Genomic DNA, 27,623 nt, shown 5'->3' on the forward strand with positions numbered 1-27,623 from the left:
TCAAAATCTAAGTAAAATTTTACTGGGTTTGAAAGCACTGGGCATGTTCCTGTGAGACCCCTGGGGTGAGTCCTGTGCTTCCAGGGAAGGTAGATGGGGCCAGGCAGATGCGGCCAGCAGAGCCTGGCCACGGGTGGCTCAGGAAGGTGCTTAAAGAGTGTAGCCAGACAAATTTTCTTAAGATTCAAAAGGAAAACCAGTTATTCCCAGTAAGGACATTGTTCAGCTTGCAGGTGAAGGCCCAGGGTGCAGAAGGGCTGAGAGGAGAGGTCGAGACCGGTGGCTGAAGGGCTGGTCCCAGGGGTCCGAGTATGGGCAGAGTCACTCCTGGTGATGAGATGGTGACAGGGATTGCTGAGAACGGTGGGGGCTCCTCACTCCTCCGGCTTTGGCCTGGCCCAGGTGGGTGCAGATGGGCAGGGGTTTCTTGAGCCTGAGTCTTTCAGAGAAGGCTTAGATGGAGGTGCAAGGGCAGGCCTCTGTGCAGGCGGGCCCTGGGGACTGCAAGGAGCCTCCTGCACACTCCTGGGCTGAAATGGGGGCTTCTTTTGTGGGCTCTCAGGAGAAACAGCAGGTGCATCTGCCTTCTGCGGGGGGTAGGTGATTTCTCCGCTTATCTCGTTCACCCAGAAAAACATGTCTAGAGGTTCCTGTCCCTGTCCAAACTGACCTCTAGACATACCTAAAAGGGAGAAAAGTGAGACAACACAGGTGGGCCTTCCAGCCTCCATATGTCGGGTGGAGGGTCAGGGGGAACTGCCAGGGCCTGGGCTTCCCTCAGCCTGAACCTTTCACCAGGGGACTCACTCTCTCCCGGAGCACCAAGCCTTCCTGGAACAGGAAGCTCTAGCCTCCTAACTGGAAGCTCCAGATGAATTCTAGGGTCATTTTCTTCTTAAATGGTCTTTTCAAAATATTTTCATCTTAACCAAGTATACTAAGTATACTTTACGTCCTGACCTAGTTCAGGGATGTGTGTGTATACTAACAATTTCATGGAACGTAAATAGTTATGTACAATAGTCTCTGATATTTTCAATTCTTTTTATGTAATTAAATCTACTATATTCCTTAAGAAAATGCTGATTGCCATTCGAATTCATTTTGTAAGGAAAGCAGCAATGATGAACCATAGCTTGAAAAACACAATCTTCAATTAAGAGAAGGATGGAGAATCTGATACAAAAGAAGACCAAAAAAATCACTCTTGCAAATTTTACACAAACATGACCATGTGTGGTCAGCAGAATTGTCCCCCAAAGATGGCCCTGCCCTAATCCTTGGAACCCACAACTGTGTTTCATTATATGGCAAAAGGGACTTTGCAGATGTAATTAAAATTATGGACCTTGAACTAGGAATATTATCCTGGATTATGCAAGTGGCCCAATCTAATCACTCGAGCCCTAAAAAGCAGAGAGCTTTCTCTGACTGGCATCACAGAGATAGATGCAGCAGCAGGAGAAGTGAGAGAGATTCTAAGCATGAGAAGGACTCAACCCACTGTTGCTGGCTTGACAATGGAAAGGGCTTACTGGAAACTGTGTCAACAAAATGAGCTTGGAAGTGGATGTTCCCCAGAGCTCCCAATAAAAGCTGGAGGTAGACAAAACCTTGATGTTAATCTTGTGAGACCCTAAGCAGAGCCACACTTGCTGACTTAGGGACTTCAGTGGTATGAGATAATAAATGGGTGTTGTGGCTGGTTCGATGGTTCATACCTATAATCTCAACACTGGGAGGTGGGAGGATTGCTTGAGCCCAGGAGTTCCAGACCAGCTTGGGCAACACAGGGAGAACTCATCTCTACAAATAATAATAATAATAAGAAGAAGAATACAAATAAATTAGCTAGGTGTGGTGGCATCCACCTGTGGTCCTAGCTACTCAGGAGGCTGAGGTGGGAGAATCGCTTGAGCCTGGGGTGGTCAAGGCTGCAGTGAGCTGAGATTGTACCACTACGCTCCATCCAGCCTGGATGTCAGAGGGAGACCTTGTCTCTAAATAAATTAATAAATAAATAATAAATAAATGGGTGTTGTATCAAGCAGCCACACCTGTGGTCATTTGTAAGAATAAGTCATTTCCTGGTCAGGCGCAGTGGCTCACACCTGTAATCCCAGCACTTTGGGAGGCCAAGGCGGGTGGATCATGAGGTCAGGAGATTGAGACCATCCTGACTAACACGGTGAAACCTGTCTCTACTAAAAAAAAAACAAAAAAATTAGCCTGGCTTGGTGGCGGGGGCCTGTAGTCCCAGTTACTTGGGAGGCTGAGGCAGCAGAATGGCGTGAACCTGGGAGGCGGAGCTGGCAGTGAGGCGAGATCACGCCACTGCACTCCAGCCTGGGTGACAGAGTGAGACTCCGTCTCAAAAAAAAAAAAAAAAAGTCATTCATTTCCCATTCTTACAAATGGCCACAAAAGGAAACGCCTATGCCATGTGAACACGTTCTCAGAATAAGTACAGGAGGCAGCCTGCAAGTCTGGGCGACTCTTCCTACTTTCTTTCCATCAAATTCCTTCACCTTCTTTAGAACAGACACAATGACTGTCAATCCTGAGAAACTTCAAGGTGCGCTACCTAGAATATCAACCAGCTCAACCAGAAGCTGATCCTGACACCTGTGTCCTACAGGAAGTTCTGATTTGCTCAGGTGGAGAGGATTTCCCCAGCATCCCCTGGTGGCCACAAGGCCATGGGGGAGTCAGCACAACCTGCAGAGATCCCCTGGTTCAGGGTGGGTGGAAACAGGGGGTTCGGGGGCTGAACAGTTAGAGGCTGGCCAGGAGCTAGGGAACTGGATAGGTATGAAGGGTTTGAAGCTTACCTGTCGGAAGGTTCTGGGGTGGAGGAGTCTGTGGAGGGAGCTTCAGAGAGCAGGAGGGGCATTAGAAGGCTGGGGCCCCTGCAATCTAATCTTTGTTGTGTAATGCGTTTCCCGCCCTATCCCAGCCTAGCTTCTGCCTGGTGATCTCAGACCCCTGCAGGGCAGCTCCCCACTCACCCCTGCACCATCCTCGCTGTCACAGTGCCTGATGCCCCAAAACTGGAAGTGTGCCTGCCATTGCCTTTCCCTGCCTGGTTTCCAGCAGTCCCATCACATGGCTCCAAAAAACAGCATCGGGGTTTTTTTCTAGAACCCAAATTTATAAACAAGGGGCAATGTCCTCTGACAAGGTTGGTTTGTGCTCAGTATAATGGTAGCCAGGGCTACCTGGATCAGGAACATCTTGTGATCCCCTCCCTACTCCCCTGGGTCTGGCTTGCTGGGCCTCACACCCTCTTCACACCCTGGTCTCCCTGAGAATTAGATGCAGCTCCCCATGTCACCAGCTGCTTACTGGGACTGCCCAGCCCAGGCCCACCTTGAATCCTCACCACGTTCCCCACTCTATGGACCCAGCGGCTGCTGTGTGTCCCATGGAGCCAGCCCATGGTGCTGGCAGAAGATGGAACAGTCGTCCTCCTGGGCTGGCCCCAGGTCACCCAAGCAGGCTTTTCTCCTCTCCTCACCTGCCTGATGGTGCCCACCCGATGTGGGGCAGTCCACAGGGCTGCTGGAGCTTAGTGAGAAATGAATCCCTTCCCAGCCCCCAGGGGCTTGCCCAGCAGCCTTTCCCCATTGGTGCTAGTAGCCTTGGGCCTTCCCAGAGACTGCTGCAGGCCTGTCCGTAGCATGAGGCCATTGCTAAGGTGAAGGAGAAGCCTCTGTCCCCTCTTCCCTCCCTGGCTCAGCTCACCTGCTCTGGCAGTGTGCTTGGTGAGGCCAGGTGTGCTTCCTCCCTTCCTCCCCAGGGCCTCTCCACCTCGGTCCACACAGGGGCAGTTTCCCCAGGAAACTCTAACTCATTCCATTACCTTCCCCCAGCTGATCTTGGAAACCCCCTTGCTGTGAATATTGGCAAGCTTAAGAGCTTATTGCCCCCACCATGGCGTCCAGCTCTTGATCAGTGTGCTTTGAGGGCTTTGTCTTCCAAGCCTTGGACAACCCTGAATGCTGGTTAGTCTTTGGCTGGCTCCAAGACGCAGTGTCACACAAGTACCACCCTGTGGACACGCTGAAGTTCCCATGGAGTCTTTTCTATCGAAAACTCAGCCTCTTTCAGGCCAAACACCGGCTCCCTTCATGTGCATAGCTTTCTAACTGGTACAATTTCCCCAAAGATAATTTAGAATTATAGTGATCACTTTGGGGAAACTCTGATATATACAAAACAAAAACAAAGCAAAATTCTGAATATCCAATGGTCTGCTGTCTTTAATTGGTATGAGGAGGCTCCTAAACACAATTTGGACTCAAAAAATGCTTCTCTAAAATATTCTTTAGCTATAACTAATATGAAATAGGAGCATCTTTTCCCTCATGTGCATCTTTTTTTTCTTTTTTCTTTTCTTTTTTTTTTTTTTGAGATGGAGTCTCACTCTGTTGCCCAGGCTGGAGTGCAATGGCACCATCTCAGCTCACTGCAAACTCCTTCTCCCAGGTTCAAGTGATTCTCCCGCCTCAGCCTCCTGAGTAGCTGGGATTACAGGCCTGTGCTACCACGCCCAACTAATTTTTGTATTTTTAGTAGAGATGGAGTTTCACGATGTTGGCTAGGCTGGTCTCAAACTTCTGACTTCAAGTGATCCACCCACCTCAGCCTCCCAAAGTGCTAGGATTACAGGCATGAGCCACCGTGCCCGACCAAGCATCTTTAAAATGTTGACATTTCCAATGCCCTTGCCACATTTTGTGAAAGGCTTCAGGTCCAAAACTGTCACTATGTTGGGTAAACAAAAATGTTGGCTGGCAAATCACTCTATTGCATAAACATCAATATTTGGCTAAACATTTTTTTTTTTTTGAGATGGAGTCTCGCTCTGTCACCCAGGCTGGAGTGCAGTGGCGTGATCTCAGCTCACTGCAAGCTCTGCCTCCCCGGGTTCACACCATTCTCCTGCCTCAGCCTCCCAAGTAGCTGGGGTTACATGCGCCCGCCACCATGCCCGGCTAATTTTTTTTGTATTTTTAGCTAAGACAGGGCTTTACCATGTTACCCAGGATGGTCTTGATCTTCTGACCTCATGATCCACCGGCCTTGGCCTCCCAAAGTGCTGGGATTACAGGCATGAGCCACTGCACCTGGGCTTGGCTAAACATTTTAAGGAGACTCTGGATATCAAGAATAAAAGACCCCTCATGAGGAAAATCTTTGTCTTGTTTGCCTAAATGACAGATCATTTTGTTTCACAGGGAGGCATCACTTCCTTCCTTTCCATAAGTTGGAGATTAATACATTCTGGCTTTTAAAAAATTGTATGGCTTGATAGAATTGTCACAAACTGAAATTATGTCAAAACCAGATATAGGACACTCTCGTGTGTGTATTGTATATATGTCTAAACTTTCATCCCTCTTCTTACAGAGAAAAATGATTAGTTATTTGTCTAAAGCCAGCTCCCTCTCATTTTTTTTCTATCCCATTTCCTCTCCTTTTCCCTCTTTTGAAAACTTAACAAAATGAAAGACTTAACAAAAATTACATTCAGCCGTTATGCATATATTCTAGGAATTTTTAGTTCAGGTAAAGTCTAAATTGTCTAAAGAAAAAAGTTATTGAACTATTTTTTATGGACACTAGAAAATGTATTTCCCTGATAACCTTTTAAACTAGCTATGACAAAAGAAAAGACGCCAACTTCAAAATAAAGGAAAATGTTAGCATGATTCACTCCTTATTAGTTTATTTTTTTAAAAAATGTTAGTACAATATTTTGGCTTATTCCAGACCAAAATTAGATTTCTTATAATTCAAACTTCCTAAATTTCCTACATTAATTTTATTTATTTATTTATTTTTGAGATGGAGCCTCACTCTGTCCCCAGGCTGGAGTGCAGTGGCACAATCTCGGCTCACAGCAACCTCCACCTCTCAGGTTCAAGCGATTCTCCTGTCTCAGCCTCCCGAGTAGCTGGGATTACAGGTGTGTGCCACCATGCCCAGCTAATTTTTTGTATTTTTAGTAGAGATGGGTTTTCACCATGTTGGCCAGGCTAGTCTCAAACTCTCGACCTCAGGTGATCCACCCGCCTCGGCCTCCCAAAATGCTGGGATTACAGGCATGAGCCACAGCGCCCGGCCCACATTTATTTTGTAAATGAAATGTTTTCATCATTTCCATAACTTATTTAAAATAAAAAATTTTGACCGGGTATGGTGGCTCACATCTGTAATCCCAGCACTTTGGGAGGCCAAAGCAGGTGGATCACTTCAGGCCAGGAGTTAGAGACCAGCCTGGCCGACATAGTGAAACCCCATCTCTACACCAAAAATACAAAACTTAGCTGGGCGTGGAGGCACACGCCTGTAGTTCCAGCTACTCGGGAGGCTGAGGCACAAGAATCGCTTGAACCCAGGAGGCGGAGGCTTCAGTGAGCCGAGATCATGCCATTGCACTCCAGCCTGGATGACAGAGCGAGACCCTTTCTCAAAAATAAATAAATAAAGTAAAATAACAGATATAAATTCACCCTTGAAATATAGAGCACTCTCAAAAACTGAATTGACTTGACTCTCCCAGAAATCGAAGCTCATATGACTAAAATAATTGCCCTCACCCAGGCATGCCAACTTGTGAAAGTGAAGTATGTAGTTATGCTGGTAGTAAAGGGGCTTTTGTCCACAAATTCAGAGTGCTTAGAGAACCCCAGGGGAGGAGCTCAGTGGGTGGAGTCTCCAGAGATTTGCCTTGGAGGCTGTTGGGACAGCAGGAGTGAGTGCTGTGATTGGCTGGGACCTCGATGTCACAAAGGTCAGGGACAGCTGCCAGAGAATGAAGCAGAGGGCTGTGGGGTGAAGGGACTGCCAGTCTTCTGCCACTCCTTTTCGTGGTCCTTCCCTTCACTGCCTTCCTTCTCCCAGACAGACTGGGCATCCAGTTCCAATCCAAAGGCTGCCCCTTTGACCAGGCCCATCTTCTCCACCTCACATCAGACAGCCAATCGGCTGCCCAGACCTCGAAACCTCAGTAACCTAGAAGGTAAGGACTTTCAGATTTCACCAGGAAGGATTATCCCTTCATGCCTTATAAAAGTAACAGAACCGGTCGGGCACAGTGGCTCATGCCTGTAATCCCAGCACTTTGGGAGGCCAAGGCAGATGGATCACCTGAGATCAGGAGTTTGAGACCAGCCTGGCCAACATGGTGAAACCCCCTCTCTACTAAAAATACAAAAAATTAGCCAGTCATGGTGGCACACGCCTGTAGTCCTAGCTACTTGGGAGGCTGAGGCAGGAGAATCACTTGAACCAGGGAGGCGGAGGTTGCAGTGAGCCAAGACCTCATCATTGCACTCCAGCCTGGGCAGCAAGAGTGAAACTCTGTCTCAAAAAATAAATAAATAAATAAAAACTAATAGAACCTATCAATTCATAGGAAATGGACCTTGGCAAACGTGTGTCAGGAGAGGATGACTTGGAGGTGTCCACCGTGTTTCTTACTGAAGGTTTGTTCAAACCTAGAAATTCACTTGGGACAGCTTATGAGCCCTCTCCTATTCTTGGGAAAGCTTTTAAATTGTCTGACAAAGTCTGTACCCCTGGAGCATGGGTTAGTTTGTTGAAGTCCACAGACCACACAGTTTCTTTGAAGGTGTGCAGCATGAGGGTGAGTTCCTCTATTGCCCACTGATGGAGAACTCACTTAGGCTGTCTTTTCTCTCCTTCAGATGTCTAAAAGTCAATTGGGGTCAAGGAACAAGCCTCTACTCACATGCATGTGGGCAAATGAAGTCACAGAACAAATAACCTACCCTGCATCCAGGTTAGATCCTCCTGCACCATTTCCTGCTTCTCTGCGGATCCTGCAATGTGGACCCCTGTCTGGATGTGGTGCTGGGGAGGTGGCTCCTCCCTGTCCCAGAGGCCCATCTCGTGTTCCCACACAGGCACGGAGTCCAGGGACACCCCCTGCTGCTGCCTAAGAGAAAGTGGCCCAAGAAGCACTGGCCCGGTGCCTGCTGATGCCAGGAGCCCTCTGCTACTGCCTGACACAAGCATCCTGCGCTTCCCCCTCCCAGGCCCTCCCCGAAAGCGTGGGCCACAGGTACCACTCCCTATGCCACTGAGCCCCACATTTCCCATCCCCCAAGCCACTCCCACCAGCCCCAGAGCTTTCCTACATTTATGATTTGTCCAAAAATGTGATGCCCTTCAGCCCCCAGAAGGTCATCCTCCAGGCTGTGATCGTCACACAGGGGGTCCCACATGGGGTCCTCACAGGCCTTCAACCCAGCACAAATCGTGGCCTGGTTTGACCTTTGAAATATCTCAACATCTAAAATTCAGAGCTTTTTTGGAATATTTATTTTCCATAGATATAATTCTTTCAAATAAATTCCTTAGAAAACAATATCCAGTGTTTCATTATTTGTGCTAACATGTGCTTTTCCCATTTTGGAGATGAAAAATATCATTAGAAATAAAAACTCAAGGGACAGATTAAACATCAGATAAGATGCAGTTAGCAGGCCGGGCGCAGTAAAGGTTGCAGTGAGCTGAGATCGCGCCACTCCAGCCTGGGCGACAGAGCAAAACTCCATCACCCACGCACAAAAAAGATAAGATGCAGGTAGCAGAGGGGCCAAGTGAACTCAAACAAGATCTGAAGTGCAATCTTCCTTAAGGAGTCCAGAGATGGGTGACAGGACATTTGAAGGAAAAGTTCCAACAGAGCACAGACAGGCTCTAGGAGATCACACAGGGAAAGGGGAGGCTACATCCAAGAGATAAAGCTGAGAATTTCCCAAAATTGATGGAAAACAGGAATTCTCAGAGTGAGGGATGCCACTGAATCCCACAGAGGATAATTGAAAACATCCACACTTAGTTACATTGTAGCAAAAGCATGAAACACTGAAGATAAACCTTGAAAGCTGCTAGGGAAAATATCTGATGAATTGAAATTAAAAATGATAAAATTTAATGAAATAGTATCATTAACATACTGAAAAAAATCAGACATCTCAGATTTGTACGTTCAGCTAATTATTCAACAATTAGGGAACTATGAAGACTTTCAAGATAAAAAGTTTACCATGAGCAGACCTGGACTACAGGAATGTCTTGCTAAAGAACGGTTTTGGTCTGGGCACTGTGGCTCATGCCTGTAATTCCAGCATTTTGGGAGGCCGAGACAGAAGCAACACTTGAGGCCAGGAGTTCAAACCAGCCTAGCAAGACCCCCATCTCTACATAAAAGTTTTTAAAAAATTAGCTGGGTGTGGTGTTACGCACCTGTAGCCCTAGCTATTCAGGAGGCTAAGGTGGGAGGATCACTTGAGGCTAGGAGTTTGAGGCTGCAGTGAGTTAGGATAGCACCACTGCACTTCAGCCAGGGCAACAGAGCAACACTCTGTCTCAAAAAAAAAAATAAAATAAAATAAAGCAGTGTTCCTTAATCTTGGCACTCTTGACATTTGGGACTGGATAATTCCTTGTTGTTGCGACAGCACTGGGCAGTGTAGAATGTTTAGCAGTATCCCCGTCCTCGAGATGGGGAGGCTGGCACCTCATGTAAAATGTTTGGCCAGGTTGCAGCCTGTGTTAGCTTGGAGGGTGGATCATAATTTGACCAAATCTGTGGCATTAGGAAAACGGCAAGAATCCAGAATGCTGGTTTTGTTGGCTCCTCCTTGGCTGCTTTTAACAAAGTCCTGTGAGAAAAGTGGTCTCTGGCTGGAGCTTGCCAGTGTGCAAGGAGAGCTAGAAGGATCCAGAGTGTTGTTAATGTAGGTAACCCCTGACTGGCCTGCCACACACAAACAGTTGAATAATTTGGTGCCTTGCAAGTTTGAAAAAAATCAGCCACTCATACACCCCAGCCAAGGCAGTTGTGAGCTGTGGCTCTGAAGAGGCAGTCTTTGTAGGAGATAGCCCTGGTGCTGCTAGCAAAGACAAGATTTTGGGTGTTGCTTCTCATAGCAAGCCTATGATATTAGTGAACATGGAGAGATCTGGCACAATCAAGCGTTGCTAAAAGGAACTCAAAGGCCTGCTACAAATTTCATAGAGCTGGACATAGGCCATCCCCAGTGAGCCAGGACAAAAACTAGGCAGAGCCCAATGTCCATAAAGTGTGGGCTGGATGGCTGAGCACGGTGGCTCATGCTTGCAATCCCAGCACTTTGGGAGGCTGAGGCGGGTGGATCACCTGAGGTCAGCAGTTCGTGACCACTCCGGCCAACATGGTGAAACCCCGTCTCTACTAAAAATACAAAAATTAGCCGGGTATGGTGGCGCATGCCTGTAATCCCAGCTATTTGGAAGGCTGAGGCAGGAGAATCACTTGAACCTGCGAGGCGGAGGTTGCAGTGAGCCGAGATACTACCACTATACTCCAGCTTGGGTGACAGAGTAAGACTCCGTCTCAAAAAAAAAAAAAAAAAAAAAAAAAAAAGAAAGAAAGAAGAAAAAAAAAAGAGTGGGCTAGAGCTCCACAGTGGTATCATCATACACAGAATACCATGATATAATGAAAATACAGCATCATCACATGCAATGACATACATAAAACTGACAAACGTAATTTTGAGCAAAAAATGCAAGACAGACAATACTTTATTACTTCATTTCTATAAAGTACAAAAACAGGCAAAAGTAAACCATATTTAAAGATGTCTATAACAGTGGTAAATACTGTGTAAAGGTTGTCGGCTACTTCTGACCTAAAGGGTGAAAACAACCACAGACAATATGTAAATGAATGAATATATCTGAAGATTATATGAAATTTATTTTTTATTTTTTATTTTTTTGAGACAGGGTCGCTCTGTCTTCTGGGCACCATTTCAGCTCACAGCAACCTCTGCCTCCTGTGTTCAAGCTATTCTCCCATCTTAGCCTCCCAGCTGGGATTACAGGCATGAGCCACTGCACGTGGCTACATGTTTTGTATTTTTAGTAGAGACGGGGTTTCACCATGTTGGCCAGGCTGGTCTCGAACTCCTGACCTCAAGTGATCCACCTGCCTCAGCCTCCCAAAGTGCTGAGATTACAGGCGTTGAGCCACCATGCCCAGCCCTTGAAATTTAAATTTCAATGTCTCTAAATGAAGTTTTATTGGAACACATCTACACTCATTTGTGTGTGTGTGTCTGTGTGTGTGTGTGTGTGTGTGTGTGTGTGTGTGTGGATGGAGATAGAGAGAGAGGGATTTATGAATTTATGATAAGGAATTGGCTTATAGAATTAAGGAGGCTGGCAAGTCCCAAATCTTCAGGGTGGATGAGCAGGCTGGAGAACCAGGAGAATACATATTCCAGTGAGAGCCCAGTGGCACCTGCTGTGGAGCAGGATTAGTAGATGGTGTGCATGAACTCTGAAGGCAGTCTGCGGAAGAATTCTCTCTTGCCTGAGAGAGAGTCTGGGGCAGCCAGACTTTATGTTCTCCTCAGGTCTTCAGGTGATTGGATGAAGCCCACCCACAGATAGAGGGCAATCTGCTTTCCTCAAAGTCCACAAATTTAAACGTTAATCTCATCCAAAGCAACCTCACAGAAACACCCAGCATAATGTTTGATCAAATACCTGGGGACCTTGTGGCTCAGCCAAGTTGACACCTAAAATTTACCCTCACACTCCAGTCCTCCAACATCCCAGCTTCCCTCTTACATCCCTGAATGGCAGAACCCAACAAGGAACCAGCTGGCGAAGCAGCATCGTGCCTGTTCTTTGTTGCCTGTGTTTTTCATTTTAAGTCGGTGGAGTTACAACCCATGGATTCCTTTGTGTCTGCTTCCTTTTCATTAAAATTCTGCTCATGGATTCATCCCTGCAGTAGGTTCATTTTCAGGTGGAAGTGTAGGAAGCACAGGAGATCACAGAAGACCTCAGCAGGCCAGCTTTGCAACATCCTAACAAGGAGACGGGAAACTGAAGTACCACAGGAAGGAGATACTCTCCATCTCTCACCACCCAAAGCTTCCTGGGATGCTAAGGGTCATCGTTCTTTTTTTTTTTTTTTCCCGCTCTGTTGTCCAGGCTGGAGTGCAGTGGCACTATCTCGGCTCACCACAACGTCCGCCTCCCAGGTTCAAACGATTCTCCTGTCTCAGCCTCCCCAGTAGCTGGGATTTACAGGTGCCCGCTACCACGCCTGGCTACTTTTGTATTTTTAGTAGAGACAGGGAGTTCAGACTGGTCTCGAACTCCCGTTCTCAGGTGATCTGCCCACCTCAGCCTCCCAAAGTGTTGGGATTACAGGTGTGAGCCACCGTGCCTGGCCTAAGCCTCACTGTTCTTTTCATCTTTCCTGCTGAGACAGGAGATTGAGGATGTGGACATTTTGTTGAGGAAAGAAATAGGACAGACAACTCAATGAAGTCTCAGAGAGCCATTCTAAGAACCCATGTTCTATTTCCAGAACCCACGTCAGGCCATTACTGGGGGGTCTGATGGGGTTATGAGAGAAATGCCCAGGGAGGGAGACTGGAGAAGGTTCAGGGACCAAGTTCTGGCTTCTGCCCTTAGAGGAGCCGGACCTGCAGAGAGAGAGTGGGAAAGTGGAGAACCATCAGCTCACTTTCCCTCACGCCATGGCAAAAGCATCTCCATCAGGCAGGACTGGCTTCACAGGCAGGCAGCCTGGGCAGCCCTGCGGGGCCCCACACTTAGAATGGCCTCCGCCTGCTATCTTGCTCTGCTGTCAGGGTCTTGAAATTCTGAATGGTCTTGAACATCATGCACTGCACCTGGCAAAATAGCCGGTCCTGATCAGGTCTCAAGGCAGCCCTGGACTTTGGAAGGCAGCACTGACGCCCCACTGAGGAAAGGAATGGCTGCTGAGGACTGAGAACTAGAGCTGAGACTCCCAGGCAGCCCCTTTGGAAAACAGTTTGGCATTTCCCCAAAATGTTAAATGTGGAATTATGTGATTCAGAAAATCACATACAAAATTGTCTCGTGTCCCTTTTAAACATATAGAATGTAACTATTGGAAAGAGAGAGAAAAAGGGCCTGGCTTGGTGGCTCACTTCTGTAATCCCAGCACTTTGGGAGGCTGAGGTGGGCAGATCACTTGAGGTCAAGAGTTCAAGACCAAGCTGGCTAACATGGTGAAACCCTGCCTTTACCAAAAAAAAAAAAAAAAAAATTAGCCGGGCGTGGTGGCGCACACCTGTAGTCCCAACAGGCTGAGGAAGCAGCTTCACTTGTACCCAGGAGGTGCAGGTTGCAGTGAGCCAAGATTGCCTCCACTCCAGCTCGAGCTACAGAGTGAGACTCTGTCTCAAAAAAGAAAAAAAAAAGAGAGAAAGAAGTTTTGGAAACATTATTTGCCCTTAGCCATGTTGTGGGTTTATTTCCTACACTGAGTCATATTATGTGTCTTCCAACATGTCTGGAGCAGTTGCTACTCCCTGTACACCAGGTCCAGTGACTATAATGTCATCAATATAATGGACCAGTGTGTCGTCCTGAGGGTGAAAAGGTTCTCAAAGGACCTGGGAACTAGATCATGAGCTGGGCGGCAGAGTTGAGGCAGCCTTGAGATAGGGTGGTGAAGGTGTATCTAGCTGAAAGCAAACTGTTCCTGATGGTCTTTACTCACAGGTATAGAGAAACATTCACCAGATGGGTAACTGGGCAGCCAAGGGGATAATCGGATCGGGTGTGCCACACTTCGCCTGCCCCGCTTGCTTTTGGTTGCTTGCTCTTTGTTATTTTTTCCCCCATGAAGCTGAAGGCCACGATAGCTGAAGGCTATGCTATTGAACACTGTAACTCAACTTTTACGTGCTACCTTATAGATAACATTTATAAGTCACCATAACAACCACTTATTTTTCAGGAACTTGGGGCAGATCCTGTCCAGTTCAAACCAGTTGAGACTGCCAACCCTTCAACTGGGCCTGTACACATGCCCAAGAGGTGGCCTTTTGACATCAGAGGGCCAAAAACTCCACCCTCAGATCATGTTAACGCCACCATTTTCTGCACATATGTCATATGAACCCCAATTATGACTGCATTTTTCCCCACTGCCAATCACCTTTCCCCATGCCTCAGACCACCCTACTTCTCTAACCTATAAATCTCTCTAAGCCTCATCTTTGGGGAGGTGAATTTGAGAGCCATTCTCCCATCTCCTCACTGGACAGCCTTGTGAATAATTCTTCTCTCTTTTGCAAAACCCATGTCACAGTGATTGATTTACTGTGTGAGAACAGAACAAACCTGGGCCTGGCTCAGTAACAACTGCAAACCAGTTGTCAGACGTATCGTTTGCTCAGCACTGAAACCACATGTGGAAACAGCACCTGCACTTGGAATCACTAGTTAATTAAGTTTACAATTAATCCAATTGTCATTCTCCAAGATCCATCTGTCTTCTGCACAGGCTGAGTAGGTGAGCTAAGTGGAGATGTGTTCCCGTCTTTGATGGTGGCACTAATCTCAACAATCTCTCCAGGAATGTGGTATTAGTTTGCTTTAATATTTTTGTGAATGAGGCAGCTCTAGTGGCTTCTACTTGGCCTTTTCTACCAGAATTACTTTTACTGTATGGATCAGGGAACTAGTGTGGGATTCTGCCCATTGTTGACTATGTCTATTCTAATTACGCATTCTAGAACCAGGGAAATAACCATAGGATGGGTTCAGGAATCTACTAGATCTACTGTGAGATGAATCTGAGCCAAAAAGCCCATTGATCACCTGACCTCCATACACTCTTACTCTGAGGAACCATGGTGGCATTTTGAGTCTCCTGTAATTACTGCTAGTTCAGAACTAGAGGCTGGTTATCCCAGAAAAGTCTAATTATTTGCCCTTCCCAATGCACAATCACTCTGATAAATGGCCTTGGGTGCCTTTGGGGAGGCCTAGGAAGATAAAAAGTATAAATTATTGTCAGTGCAGCAGGGTCCTACTTCAAAGGGACCTGGCCTATCCTTTATTCAAGAAGCTGTGGGTTTGTGAACTAGATCAAGACTTGGAATTGACTGAGTGATTGTAACTCTGTGTTGGTAATTTAGGTCAGACTTTATTCACCAGATCTGGAGCTTTCCTACTTACTCGGATCAAGTAAAACTTTAGTAGGCAGCCCATCCATTTCAGTTCTCAGGACACTATGATCAGCAGGCAGACATCACAGATCTCTGTGGGTCAGACCATTCAGGATCCTGCTTTGGCTGCACTGTCCATGGCAGTCACCACACCAATTGTGTTTTTGGTGACTAAGTGTTACCATATGGTCCCTGCCTCCTCAGGATTCCATCAGCCCCACTGCACTTCAGGGAGCATTTCCCACTGTAATGTGGCCTGTATAGAATATCTGGCACTCTCTACATGAATTTATTTCTCATAATGAAGTGTCCTCTGGACCCTCCCTGGGTGGGTGAGCAGGTATTTACATGATAAATACTCAAGCATTTTTATCTCCTTAAGCATTTACATATCTTCCTCTACAGTATACCAACGAAGTTCTCGCATTTCAACTCATTCAGTGCAGGTTATGTTTGCATTCGTGTTTTTTTTTTCTTTTGGAGATGAGTTCTCACTATATTGCCCAAGCCAGTCTCAAACTCCTGGCCTCAAGCAATCCTCCCACCTCAGCCTCCCAAGCTGGGATTACAGTGAGTCCATATCTCAACAACTCAAAGCAAATGAAGACAGCCATTCTCAGCTTCTCAAGTTAAAACAATGAACCACAAATCTCTGCTTAATTATCCCATATCGAATAATTCAGCTTGATCTGACTTTATATTCCTTCCACGATGATCCTGCACCCTTGTTACCGCAAAAGGTTCCCAATCCAGACCCCAAGAGAGGGTTCTTGGATCTCGCACAAGAAAGAATTCAGGGCGAGTCCGTAAAGAGAAAGCAAGTTTATTAAGTAAAGGAATAAAAGAATGGCTACTCCATAGACAGAGCAGCCCCGAGGGCTGCTGGTTGTCTATTTTATGGTTTCTTGATGATATGCTAAACAAGGGGTGGATTATTCATGCCTCCCCTCTCCAGGCCATATAGGGTAACTTCCTGATGTTGCCATGGCAACTGTAAACTGTCATGGCACTGGTGGGAGGGTAGCAGTGAGGATGACCAGAGGTCATTCTCATCACCGTCTTGGTTTTGGTGGGTTTTAGCTGGCTTCTTTACTGCAACCTGCTTTATCAGCAAGGTCTTTGTGGCCTGGATCTTGTGCCAATCTCCTATCTCATCCCGTGACTTAGAATGCCTTAACCGTCTGGGAATGCAGCCCAGTAGGTCTCAGCCTCATTTTGTTACAGGAAAGGGGTCCCGATCCAGACTCTTAAGAGAGTTCTTGGATCTCGTGCAAGAAAGGATTCAGGGCAAGTCCGCAGTGCAAAGCAAAAACAAGTTTATTAAGAAAGTAAAGTGGTGAAAGGACAGCTACTCCATAGAGTAGGATGGAGTAACCTCTAACCTGAGGTCAGTCAAGTGTCCTTGCCTTTTATTAAGAGGGGCCTCTAACTCACTCTGTCTTAGGAGAAACTCCAACTCCCCTAAGTTGGGCCTCTAACCCAATCCCATTTGTTACTCGGGTACCCCATCACTTACCCAAAGTCGTCCAATCAGTGCTGCAGTCTATTTCTTTGGGGTTGGGGGGATTTCTTCAGTATCATCCTTTCTGTGGTTTGCCAGAAATATGTTACAGGACCCCAACACTTACGCAAAGGTAGCCGTTGGGTCAACGTTTCTGCACTATAGTCCCTTCTGTGGTCACCAGAAATATGTTACAGGAAAGGGGTCCCAATTCAATCCTAGAGGGTAGGAATGCCTAACTTTCTGAGAATGCAGGCCAGTAAGTCTCAGCCTCATTTTCCCAGCCCTCACTCAAAATGGAGTCGCTCTGGTTCAAATACCTCTGACACTTTTACCCAGCCCCTATTCAACATGGAGTTGCTCTCGTTCCAATGCTTCTGACGCTATCTCTACAGATTCCCCAGGTTTCTATAAAAATTGGCAAAATTATGCAATTTGGAGAGTACTGTATCTCCTCAGTCACATTTTGCACTTCACTTTTTTTTTTTTTTAATTGAGACAAAGTTTCACTCTGTCGCCCAGGCTGGAGTGCAGTTGTGCGATCTCGGCTCACTGCAACTTCCACCTCCTGGGTTCAAGTGATTCTCCTGCCTCAGCCTCCCCAGTAGCTAGGATTACAGGCACACACCACCACACCCGGCTAATTTTTGTATTTTTAATAGAGATGGGGTTTCACCATATTGGCCAGGCTGGCTGGTCTCAATCTCCTGATCTCGTGATCTGCCCGCCTCAGCCTCCCGAGTAGCTGGGACTACAGGCGCCCGCTGCCACGCCCGGTTAATTTTTTGTATTTTTACTAGAGACGGGGTTTCACCGCGTTAGCCAGCATGGTCTCGATCTCTTGACCTCGTGATCTGCCCGCCTCAGCCTCCCAAAGTGCTGGGATTACAGGTGTGAGCCACCGTGCCTGGCCAAAAAAATAATTTTTTTAAAAGGACTCCAGGCAATGATAGACTGGATTAAGAAAATGTGGCACACATACACCATGGAATACTATGCAGCCATAAAAAATGATGAGTTCATGTCCTTTGTAGGGACATGGATGAAGGTGGAAATAATCATTCTCAGTAAACTATCGCAAGAACAAAAAACCAAACACCGCATATTCTCACTCATAGGTGGGAATTGAACAATGAGAAAACATGGACACAGGAAGGGGAACATCACACTCTGGGGACTGTTGTGGGGTGGGGGGAGGGGGGGAGGGATAGCATTGGGAGATATACCTAATGCTAGATGATGAGTTAGTGGGTGCAGCGCACCAGCATGGCACATGTATACATATGTAACTAACCTGCACATTGTGCACATGTACCCTAAAAGTATAAAAAAAAAAAAAACAAGGACTCCAGGCATGGTGGCTCACACCTGTAATCCCAGCACTTTGGCAAGCTGAGGCAGGTGGGTCACTTGAGGTCAGGAGTTCAAGACCAGCTTGGGCAACATGGCCAAACCTTGTCTCTACAAAAATACAAAAATTAGCTGGGTGTGGTGGTGCACGCTTGTAGTCCCAGCTAGTCAGGAGGCTGAGGCTGGAGAATCGCTTGAGCCTGGGAAAGTGGAGGTTGCAGTGAGCTGAGATCGTGCCACTGCACTCCAGCCTGGGTGACAGGGTGAGACCTTGTCTCAAAAAAAAAAAAAAAAAAAAAGCAAAACGCAAAAAGCAGTGGTGACCATAGGTCATGAGCAACGTCAGCGGACTTTTGGAAGACATATACCTCAGGGAAGGCCATTACATGTTCTTCAGGCAAAAGGTGGTTAACTAACACTCAAAGTCTCATTGTGACCCTCCCTTCTGCTCCCTGCCCCAGCATTAGTAGCTGGGACCTCTCCACAGAAGCACAGATCCAAAGGCCACAGGGCCCCTCCCTGAGCACAGACACTATGTCAGCCCAGCAGTCCACTCCTCCACCATAGGTCTGAGTTCAGCTCCACAAGGTCCCTCTTCCAATCTCCCACCTTTCAACAATTCTAGCCACGTCTCTTTGTTCCTGCTTTGCACTTTGCTCCACATGAGGTGGGATCAATAAACTACCATCACTCAAAACTGGTTCGGATGTTGAAACTGATGACACTGCAGACACCAAGAGGTTATGAAAAAGTTTACTACTCACATGAGGCCTTCTAGGGAAAGCAAAGCGGGCACCCACGCCAGTCTGTTGGGCTTCAGTGAAAGGACGAACAAGTGGCTCTGGTTTTTGTTGTGGTTATGAGAGCTCAGTGCATTTGACAGTCAGGGTTTGCACAGTTTGAACTTCCCCTCTGACGCAAAGAGGAAGTGGCTGGGCTTTCTTATCAGCTTGTCCAGATCCAGGCAAACTGAGGGGGAGAGCTTGAATGCTATTAGCAGACAAACGTCAAACATGGGGAGACTCTATTCTAGCTCCCCCAGTCCTGGGGTGGCAGCTGCTTAGCAGTTGCTACCTCCAAGACACCTTGGCATTTTCTTCTTGCCTTTTTAGCTACTTAAATATAGTACACTTCTTTATAAGGTCTTTGCTAAAATAACTGGTGTGGTTTCTGGCAACTAAAACCTGGCTGATATAAAATCTCCTTGCTGTTCTTAGCAGGGTTAACATTAACTTTAAAAGGTGTGGTAGCTGGCATACAAGTATTTACTCTCCTTTTCCTCATCTAATAAAGTAGAATGAAAAACATCTCCATCTTCTGGATCCCATTTCTTCATTAAAATTATGAGTTTACAGCTTCTGGCTTCACTTGTTATTTATTAAGCAAAATTAAGGAGATTTAGGCAAGGAGGAGCTTATAATTTCCTATAAAGTGCATGTCTTGGTGACTGTGCGTCAGTATATAGAGAACATCCTCATTTTTAAAAAAACTGTGGCCTGGTATTTCATCATAGATGTACTAGAGTTACTTAAGCGTTCGTTTACTAATAGCCATTTGTATTGCTCCTGTTACCAGAAAGCGGTCGTGATCCAGTCCCCAAGAGAGAGTTCTTGGACCTTGCTCAAGAAAAGAATTCGGGCGAGTCCACAAAGTGAAAGTAGTTAATATTAAGAAAGTAAAGAAATACAGAATGGCTACTCCATAGGAAGAGTAGCCCCAAGGGCTGCTGGTTGCCTATTTTTATGGTTATTTATTGATTATATGCTAAACAAGGGGTAGATTATTCATAAGTTTCCCGGGAAAGGTGTGAGCAATTACCAGAACTGAGGGTTCCTCTCCTTTTTAGACCATATAGTGTTACTTCCTGATGTTGCCATGGCATTTTTTTTTTTTTTTTTTGAGACAGAGTCTTGCTCTGTCACCCAGGCTGGAGTGCAGTGGCACCATCTTGGCTCACTGCAACCTCCAACTCCCGGGATCTAGAGATTCTCCTGCCTCAGCCTCTCAAGTAGCTGGGATTACAGGCACGTGCCACCATGCCCAGCTAATTTTTGTATTTTTTAGTAGAGACAGGGTTTCACCATGTTGGCCAGGCTGGTCTCAATCTCCTGACCTCATAATCCGCCCGCCTTGGCCTCCCAAAGTGCTGGGATTACAGGCATGAGCCATCGTGCCAGGCCTGCCATGGCGTTTGTAAACTGTCATGGCACTGGTGGGAGTGTCTGTTAGCATGCTAATGCATTATAATTACAGTATAATTACAGCAGTGAGGACAACCAGAGGTCACTTTCATTGCCATCTTGGTTTTGACCGGCTTCTTTACCACATGCTGTTTTATTGGCAAGGTCTTTATGACTGTATCTTGTGCTGACCTCCTATCTCATCCCATGACTTGGAATGCCTAACCTCCTGGGAATGCAGCCCAGTAGGTCTCAGCCTTATTTTACCCAGTTCCCTATTCAAGATGGAGTCACTCTGGTTCAAACGCCTCTGACACTCCCAATTTTTGCAGGTGAGGAAATGGAAGCCTTGAAAGATTAGGTGGCTCACTCTAAGTAACATCATGTACCTGGCAGGGATTTCTATAAAGTCATAAGATGTCAGAGACTATGCTTAAGAAATATTTTTACTTTGAAACACTTTAAGCAAACAGTTAAAAAGTACCCACCACACTACCCTGTAAAAATCTTAACATTGTGATGCCTCTGCATCAATTTTTAGAAAAAAACAAAGAAAACACAACTGAAGGCCCCATGTACCCTCCCCAAATCCATCAGGTCTCCTGCCTTAGGAAGGCAGAATGGTGACTTGCACACATCGTTCCAATACATGATTTTATACTCATTTCATATTATTTGAATCCACAGAAAATAGATTACTGTGCAAAACAATAACACTTTCTATATGTCCACAAGGCTTACATGCTAGACACTATTCTAAGCATTTTACATGCATTACTTCATTGACCACCCCCCCACCCACAATCACCCTGTGAGATTGCCACTACTATCCCATTTTACAGAAAAAGTGAAAAACAAGTTGAAGTAACGTGCCCACAGGTACACAGTATGCTTAACTTTACACTAAGGGTACCTTGTATGTAGCTTCACCAACTTTCTCAGCATAATTTTTCATCTATCTGTGTTGAGACGTAACTCTTTCATATTCACTTTCCAAGGACCAAAAACAACCCATTTATTTATCCATTCTTCTGCTGATGAAATGCAGGCTTTTCCCAATCTTGCTACCTAAACAATACTTCAGTGAAGTCTTAAAATCATTCTCTGTTCACATGGCACTTCTCTAGGATGCATCCAGGAGTAGTTGCTGGGTGGTTAAGTGCACACAACCTTCCAAGATTTTGCAAATTGCCTGGCACAATATTTCTCACAATTTCTACTCATAAAGCAGTGTGAATTATCGTTGTTCCACGCACTTACCCACACTTGGGCTTTCAAAAATGTGCCAGCTTTCTGAGTGTGAGATGGTCTGTATTATTTTACATTTCAGTCAGTCTTGGTCAGCAGGGGTGGGGCAGACCACACTGAACAGGTGACAGAAAGACCTTCAAATACCCACTCCAGCCATCTGGCTCTCCTCAACCCCAACTTCAGTTCCTCCAAGGGAGTGGGGGAAAGGTGGGAAGGGTTGGAAGGAAACTGAATGTTCTCCAGGCCAGGATGAGATGCAAGATGAGACCTGGTGCTCAGGGCAATCAGAAACTGTCAACTGAAGCCAAACAGCTCAGAACCACCCACAGCCGGGTTCCTAACCAGCAGGTGTGTGTTTGTGGGTGGCTTCCAGTCAACATTTCACCCCACAGCCCCTTAAAAAAAACCCAACCCTGACTCAGCCAAACTAAATTCAGCTTCAGATTCCTTAACAGAGGTAATTTTGTGCAAGATATTTTCTGCATGGCAAACAGATAAATAAGCACCCAACCCTGGCTTCCAGAGTGCTTGGTCTGGCTATGGAGATGGGCATAACCAAAAACACAAACATCACCTGACATAGGAACCAAGAGAGGTGGGGCCACGGGTTTAGAGGCACAAGGGTCAGACAAGGTCAGGCCTTGAAGAATGAAGAGCTGAACTGGCAGAGAGAGGGGTGTGGCACTCCAGGTGAAGGGAGGCAGCACAAGGCAGAACACTCTGGGGGGCTGGCATGGGGAAGGGACAGGAAAGCCAAATCCAACATTGATTCTGCCAAAATCTTTAGTAGTTAGCACCAAGTAGTCAGGCTTCTACTTTTTTTCCTTTCAGCTAATCTGAATTCATTAATATTTATATAATTATAGTACTTATAGAACTAAAATTATTTGAAAACTCAGGTTATTGGACAAATAGGTTCAGTATAATCCCAAATATAAACAGCTTACTTCAGGATAAAATAATTTCTGTTCTTTTGGCCGGGCACAGTGGCTCACACCTGTAATCCCAGCATTTTGGGAGGCCGAGGCGGGTGGATCACGACGTCAGGAGATCGAGACCATCCTGGAGATCGAGACCATCCTGGAGATCGAGACCATCCTGGCTAACACAGTGAAACCCCGTCTCTACTAAAAATATAAAAAATAACCCAGGCGTGGTGGCAGGCACTTGTAGTCCCAGCTACTGAGGAGGCTGAGGCAGGAGAATGGTGTGAGCCCAGGAGGCAGAGCTTGCAGTGAGCGGAGATCGCGCCACTGCACTCTAGCCTGGGTAACAGAGTGAGACTCCGTATCAAAAAAAAAAAAAAATTCAGTTTTTCACTTCATTCTTTGCACATTTTAAAATTTGATTAGAATGTTTAGAAATAAGCACATTTCATTCTATAAAAATGACAGGTCAGGCACAGTGGCTCACGCCTGTAATCCCAGCACTTTGGGAGGCAGAGGTGGGTGGATTGCTTGAGCCCAGGAGTTTGAGACCAGCATGAGCAACATGGGAAAAAAAAATAAAAGTTTTGTCTCTACAAAAAAATATAAAAAATTAGCTGGCAGGGTGGCACACACCTGTAGCCCCAGCTACTCGGGAGGCTCAGATGGGACCTGAGCCTGGGAGGTCAAGGCTGCAGTAAGCTGTGATCCTGCCACTGCACTCCACCCTGGGCAACCCTGTCTCAAAAAATAAAAAAGACAGTAAAAATATCCCTATACTGGGGCAGGAACTTTACAAGGTATCCTGTGGCAAAGGGAGCAGAGATGGGGGGAAAGGGGTGCTAAAAGTTTGATTGGAAAGGGACTTTTCCATGGTTACAACACCAACTGACATGGAAGCTGCACCTCTGAGAGGGCCCTGGTCCTAGAGGTCAACCACCTGATGGAGAGCCTTGGTAAACCAAGCCCTCTTTCACCAATCTCAGGAATCAGGTAGCACAGCCAAGCACTCTAACTTCACACATAAGGAAATTGATGCAGAGGTTCATTGACTTGCTCAAGATCAATCCTGCCAAGAAAAGGCACACCATGCCTGGAACCCAGATCTGATGACTCCAAGACCCTTCCTATGACTCTGGCCCCCCTGCCCAGCCACTTCTAGTGCCAGTTTTGGGACAGTGAAGGGACATCTTCAGTGCCATGAACAGCTGCTGCCGTAGGAAGGCAAGAGGATGGCAGAACCAAGATGACCAAACCTTCCTGAGGACAAAGCTGAACAGGCATCAGAACACCAACAGGAGACTTCTGCCCCGCCCCCACCATCCTGTGACACCACCACACAATATCAGAGCCTTCATTTTCACCTGCTCATGGCAATCCAGAGCAGGTAAGATTATTCCATACTCTACTGAAAAAGACATCTTCCAGGTTGGTTTCTTCTCATTTCAAGAAATGACCAGCTCCATGAACGGGCCCCTATAGTCAGGACACTGCTCTACTATTAAAACATTTTATCCTTTCATTCATAATCTGACCTCTTCAATAATCAGAAGCAATGATTACTCACATGCTTTAGCAATATCACTCCTTTGCCTTTAAGTAATTGATTCTTGCTTTTTGCTTCAACACAAGTGGGTGGGCCAGTGAGGGAGCTCCTCCCAGAACAGGCTGCCTTTTCTCCTGAGAGCAGCAGGCACATGCACTTGTTCCTTCGGGTTGAATCTGATTGCTAGCACCAGATCTCATACATGGAGAGGGGTATGTGAAGCTGAGAGGGGCCTGCAGTGTGCAGGGGCTAGAGACATGAACACAACAATGGTAAGCGTTTATATCTGCTGAGGCCGAGGATCCTATAGAAAATTCAGAAACGGAGTGGGGAGGAGTCTGATTTATGGGAACTGGCAGCAAGGCTAACTGCATGAGAAGCCTTTCACCCTTTTACTGAGTCCTTGGATCTGTGGTTAACCCTTATAAAATATAATTCAGATTCAAACCACATCACTCCTCAACTCAAAATTGTCCAAAAGCTCCCTGCCTCCCTCTGAGCCAGCTCAAGCCCCCGTAATGACCCATGATGCTCATATGGCCGGGCCTGTGGCCTCCCTGGCCCCTCTCCTTCCCTTCCAGCTGGCTCCCTGCACTCCATCCCAGGGGCTTCCTTCCTGAGGACACCAGTCAAGACCCAATCTCCTCTGCCTGCAACTCTCCCTAGAGAGCTACCTGCTACCTCCCTGGCTTCCTTCACGTCTTTGCTCACATTTCACCTTCTCAGTTGAGGCCCTCCCTGACCAGACTATCTAAAATCACGACTGATCTCCCAATCCAGCACTCCCTCTGCTCTTCTCTGATTCACTTTGTCCACTACACACATCACCATCCAGAATACTGCGTATCCCATTTGTTTGTCATCTGTAAAGATCCAAGATGGCAGGATTTTCATCTGTTCTGGTCCCTGCTGGGTCTCTGGCAAACACACCAGCGCCTGGTGTATGGGAGTGCTCAGCACATTTCTGTTAAACAGATGGACCGCTGCTGCCTATGCAGGCCTGTGGGATGGGGATGGCAACAGGGTACTGGTAGAGATCCACACGCCAAGCGCTTGAGCCCAGCATCCTGCTCTCCTCCACCTGCCGCTGAGACCACTCTAACCCCCTAGCAGATATCCAAAAGCCAGCCAGGAAGGCTGAAGCCCCAGCCAGAACTCCCCAGGGGGCATTTGGGAAGGCTAGGAGTTCTTGATGCTGCTGCTTTTAAAGTCAACAGAATAGGCATGGCCACAGGCCAAACTTGAAGACAAATCTAGGATCCCACTGGCCCCTTTCCAGCAGCCATAGCCCATGATGCCACAGATATTCTGTCCAACCACAAAGGGCAGTGGTCTCTCTCTTCAGAGTTGTGGAAGGAGACCTGAATAGGGGAGCCGCAGGCTATGGTGCAGAGGCCACTCCTAGGGGCCGGAGTCTCCAGAAGGGCTCCAAAGGACATGGTGCTGCACTTCCCCAGCGTCACATCCTAGCAGGCAGGCTGGGGACTCCCCGAGCTTTCAAATCCTTGGGATTCTGTCACTAGCTTCCAAAACAGAAAGGGCTGGGCCCTTTATCAAAGTTACTCCACAATGCCTATAATTAAGGGTTCTCTAGCAGGGGACTGAGAACCCACCCCCACTGTCACTGTCAGGTCCCAGGCTAATCTCTAATATGGTTTTTCATATGCCGAGCCAGGTTCGAAGACCACCTGAAGGTCTTTCCACACTTGCTGCATTTGAAGGGCCTCTCTCGAGTATGAAATCTCTTGTGGCTAATGAGTTGTGAACTCTTGTTAAAAGTTTTCCCACATATGCTGCATTTGTGGCACTTTTTCCCAATGCTTATGTCCTGGAGTCCAGTGAGCCTGGAGCTCTGGCTGCAAGCTTCTTTGCAGTCTTCGAGGGGCATCTCTTCACTTGGTTTTAGCTTCTGTAATCTCAACTTTGTGTCCTGAGAGGAAGACCGTGCAGGCGGGCTACGTTCAGCCTGTGCTGCTCTGGTGTGTTTCCTCTGGTGACTGGAAAGGGTATGTCTCCCAATGAACTCTTTCCCACACCACTGACATTTGAAAGGTCTCTCTGTAGAGTGGATCCTCTGATGGTTAACAAGGCGATAGTTTCTATCATAAGATTTCCCACATAGATTACATTTATAGCGCTTCTCTCCACTGTGTATTCCCTTATGATCTAAAAGGGTTCTTTTACGTGTAAAGGTTTTCCCACATTCTTGACACCAAAAACGTTTCTCACCAGTGAGGATTTTTGGCTCCACATTTGGAGTCTTTTCACTTTCATGGCAATCATACTGTTTTTGAAGAGAGTGAATCCTCTGATGTCGGTAGAGATTGGAACTCCATCTGAAGGCTTTCCCACACTCCCTGCACTTATATGGCTTCTCTCCAGTGTGAACTCTCTGATGGATGAGGAGGAATGAGTGATTGCGGAAGGCCTTGCCACACTGGCTGCATTTGTAGGGCTCCTCTTTGGAGTGACTGCTCTGAGGAACCTGGAACACTGTGTCCTGACTAAAAGATGGCCCGCCCTCAGGTTTTCTTTTCATGGCATGCTTCTTCTTATGAACAATAAAGGCTGACCTATAGGCAAAGTCCTTCCCACAATCGCTACACTGGTAAGGTTTCTCACCTGTGTGAATTCTCTGGTGGTCAACGAGAGTTTTCTTTCTAGTAAAAGTTTTCCCACACTGCTGACACAGAAATGTTTTCTCCACAGCGGGAGCACCCTGGGGCTGACTGCAGTCAGGAGATTGCCTGAAGCCTTCACGACATTCATCTTGTTTGTAGAATTTTTCCTCCTCATGCAACCTCATATGACGAGTAAAGTTTGATCTCCATCTAAAGGTTTTCCTACATTTGGTACATTTATAGGGCTTCTCCTGGGTGTGAATCCTTTGATGTTCAAGAACATATGACTTACAGTGGAAGGATTTCCTGCACTGGCTGCAGTCAAAGAGTTTCTCCCCACTTTGGTCTCCCAAATGATGATCAAACCCTGAGCTGTAGGTGAGAGCTGCCCTATACTGATTCAATTCAAGAAATTTCTTCTTAGCATGGGTTTCTCGGTGCAGACGGTAGGCTGACAGGCGTCGGAAAGCTTTCTCACATAAATCGCATTTATAAGGCTTCACTCCAGTGTGAATTTTCTCATGCCGCGCACAGTTGGAACTCCACCGGAAGGCTTTCCCACACACCCTACATTTAAATGCTTTCTCTTGAGTGTGAAGTCTCTGATGATACGCAAGATGGGAGCTATGACTGAAAGTCCTTCCACAGTCACTGCACTTAAATGACACTCCCACTGTGTGAAGACTCTGCCCACGTTGGTGATGAGAGCTAAGGCTGAAGTCTTTTCCACACACGTCCTTTTTGTTCCCTTTCAGTCCACTATGAATTCTCTGATGTAGGCTGAAGCCCCCAATCATGTGTCTGAGCCCCTTCCCATATTTCTTGTAGTCATAGTGGTGTGAACTCATTCTGAAGTGTTTGCCACAGCCATGTTTAAGGGATTCCTTTCTTCCAGAAACTCTCAAATATGTAACATGTTTTAAGTCAAGACTATTACTTCCTGATACTTCAGAGTCTTTTCCTGTCCTGTGACTGAAATTGGTCTCTTCTTTCTTAACTCTTACTTGTATGGGATTTTCACATTGATCCTTCTGCCTGCTCTTCTGTTGAAAAGATTCTCTGAGCCCAATTCCCTCAGAAACACTTGTCGCAGGACATCCTGATGACACAGCTAAGGTTTCTGCTTCTTCCAAAGGTTCCTGATTTAAGATGAATTTGTTTGTTTTACTCTGGAGGTCATCTCCTGACAAAAAATATA

At 46.6% G+C, this 27,623-nt stretch overlaps 1 protein-coding gene, 1 long non-coding RNA gene and 1 pseudogene across 9 annotated transcripts in view, besides 2 other annotated features; 1 reads left to right on the forward strand and 2 right to left on the reverse strand.

Moving 5' to 3' along the window:
• Positions 1 to 18,767, reverse strand: C3orf86P (chromosome 3 open reading frame 86, pseudogene; annotated as a pseudogene). Of its 6 annotated transcripts, NR_172926.1 has the most exons (4): positions 18,666 to 18,767; positions 16,567 to 16,636; positions 7,800 to 7,966; positions 1 to 682 (listed from the first exon to the last, which is right to left on the reverse strand). The product of NR_172926.1 is annotated as a chromosome 3 open reading frame 86, pseudogene, transcript variant 5 (transcript). The 6 variants fall into 6 exon arrangements; NR_172922.1 differs by lacking the exons at positions 7,800 to 7,966; positions 16,567 to 16,636 and adding an exon at positions 1,722 to 1,806; NR_172927.1 differs by lacking the exon at positions 16,567 to 16,636.
• Positions 3,713 to 3,852: an enhancer, noted in NCBI's record as "active region_19763". NCBI's record gives its function as "activates an Ori minimal core promoter by ATAC-STARR-seq in GM12878 lymphoblastoid cells {active_cell/tissue: GM12878}" and the evidence as "EXISTENCE:reporter gene assay evidence [ECO:0000049][PMID:35858748]".
• Positions 6,791 to 8,398, forward strand: LINC01988 (long intergenic non-protein coding RNA 1988). Its single transcript, NR_144436.1, has 4 exons — positions 6,791 to 7,027; positions 7,424 to 7,493; positions 7,716 to 7,810; positions 7,935 to 8,398. It is a non-coding gene; the product is annotated as a long intergenic non-protein coding RNA 1988 (long non-coding RNA).
• The window catches only part of ZNF445 (zinc finger protein 445), a 45,966-nt gene continuing 28,916 nt past the window's right edge, over positions 10,574 to 27,623 (reverse strand). For both annotated transcript variants that reach the window (NM_001369454.1, NM_181489.6), the window contains one exon: positions 10,574 to 27,608. In NM_001369454.1, coding sequence (NP_001356383.1) covers positions 25,444 to 27,608 — 2,165 coding nt within the window. In that variant the 3' untranslated portion in view covers positions 10,574 to 25,443. The remainder of the gene's footprint in view (positions 27,609 to 27,623) is intronic.
• Positions 20,263 to 20,469: a silencer, noted in NCBI's record as "fragment chr3:44482886-44483092 (GRCh37/hg19 assembly coordinates)". NCBI's record gives its function as "represses an EF-1alpha promoter that drives an FKBP-Casp9 reporter gene in an ReSE screen in K562 erythroleukemia cells {active_cell/tissue: K562}" and the evidence as "EXISTENCE:reporter gene assay evidence [ECO:0000049][PMID:32094911]".

This window comes from Homo sapiens, chromosome 3 (genome assembly GCF_000001405.40).
Source record: "Homo sapiens chromosome 3, GRCh38.p14 Primary Assembly".
NCBI classification, from domain to species: Eukaryota; Metazoa; Chordata; class Mammalia; order Primates; family Hominidae; genus Homo; species Homo sapiens.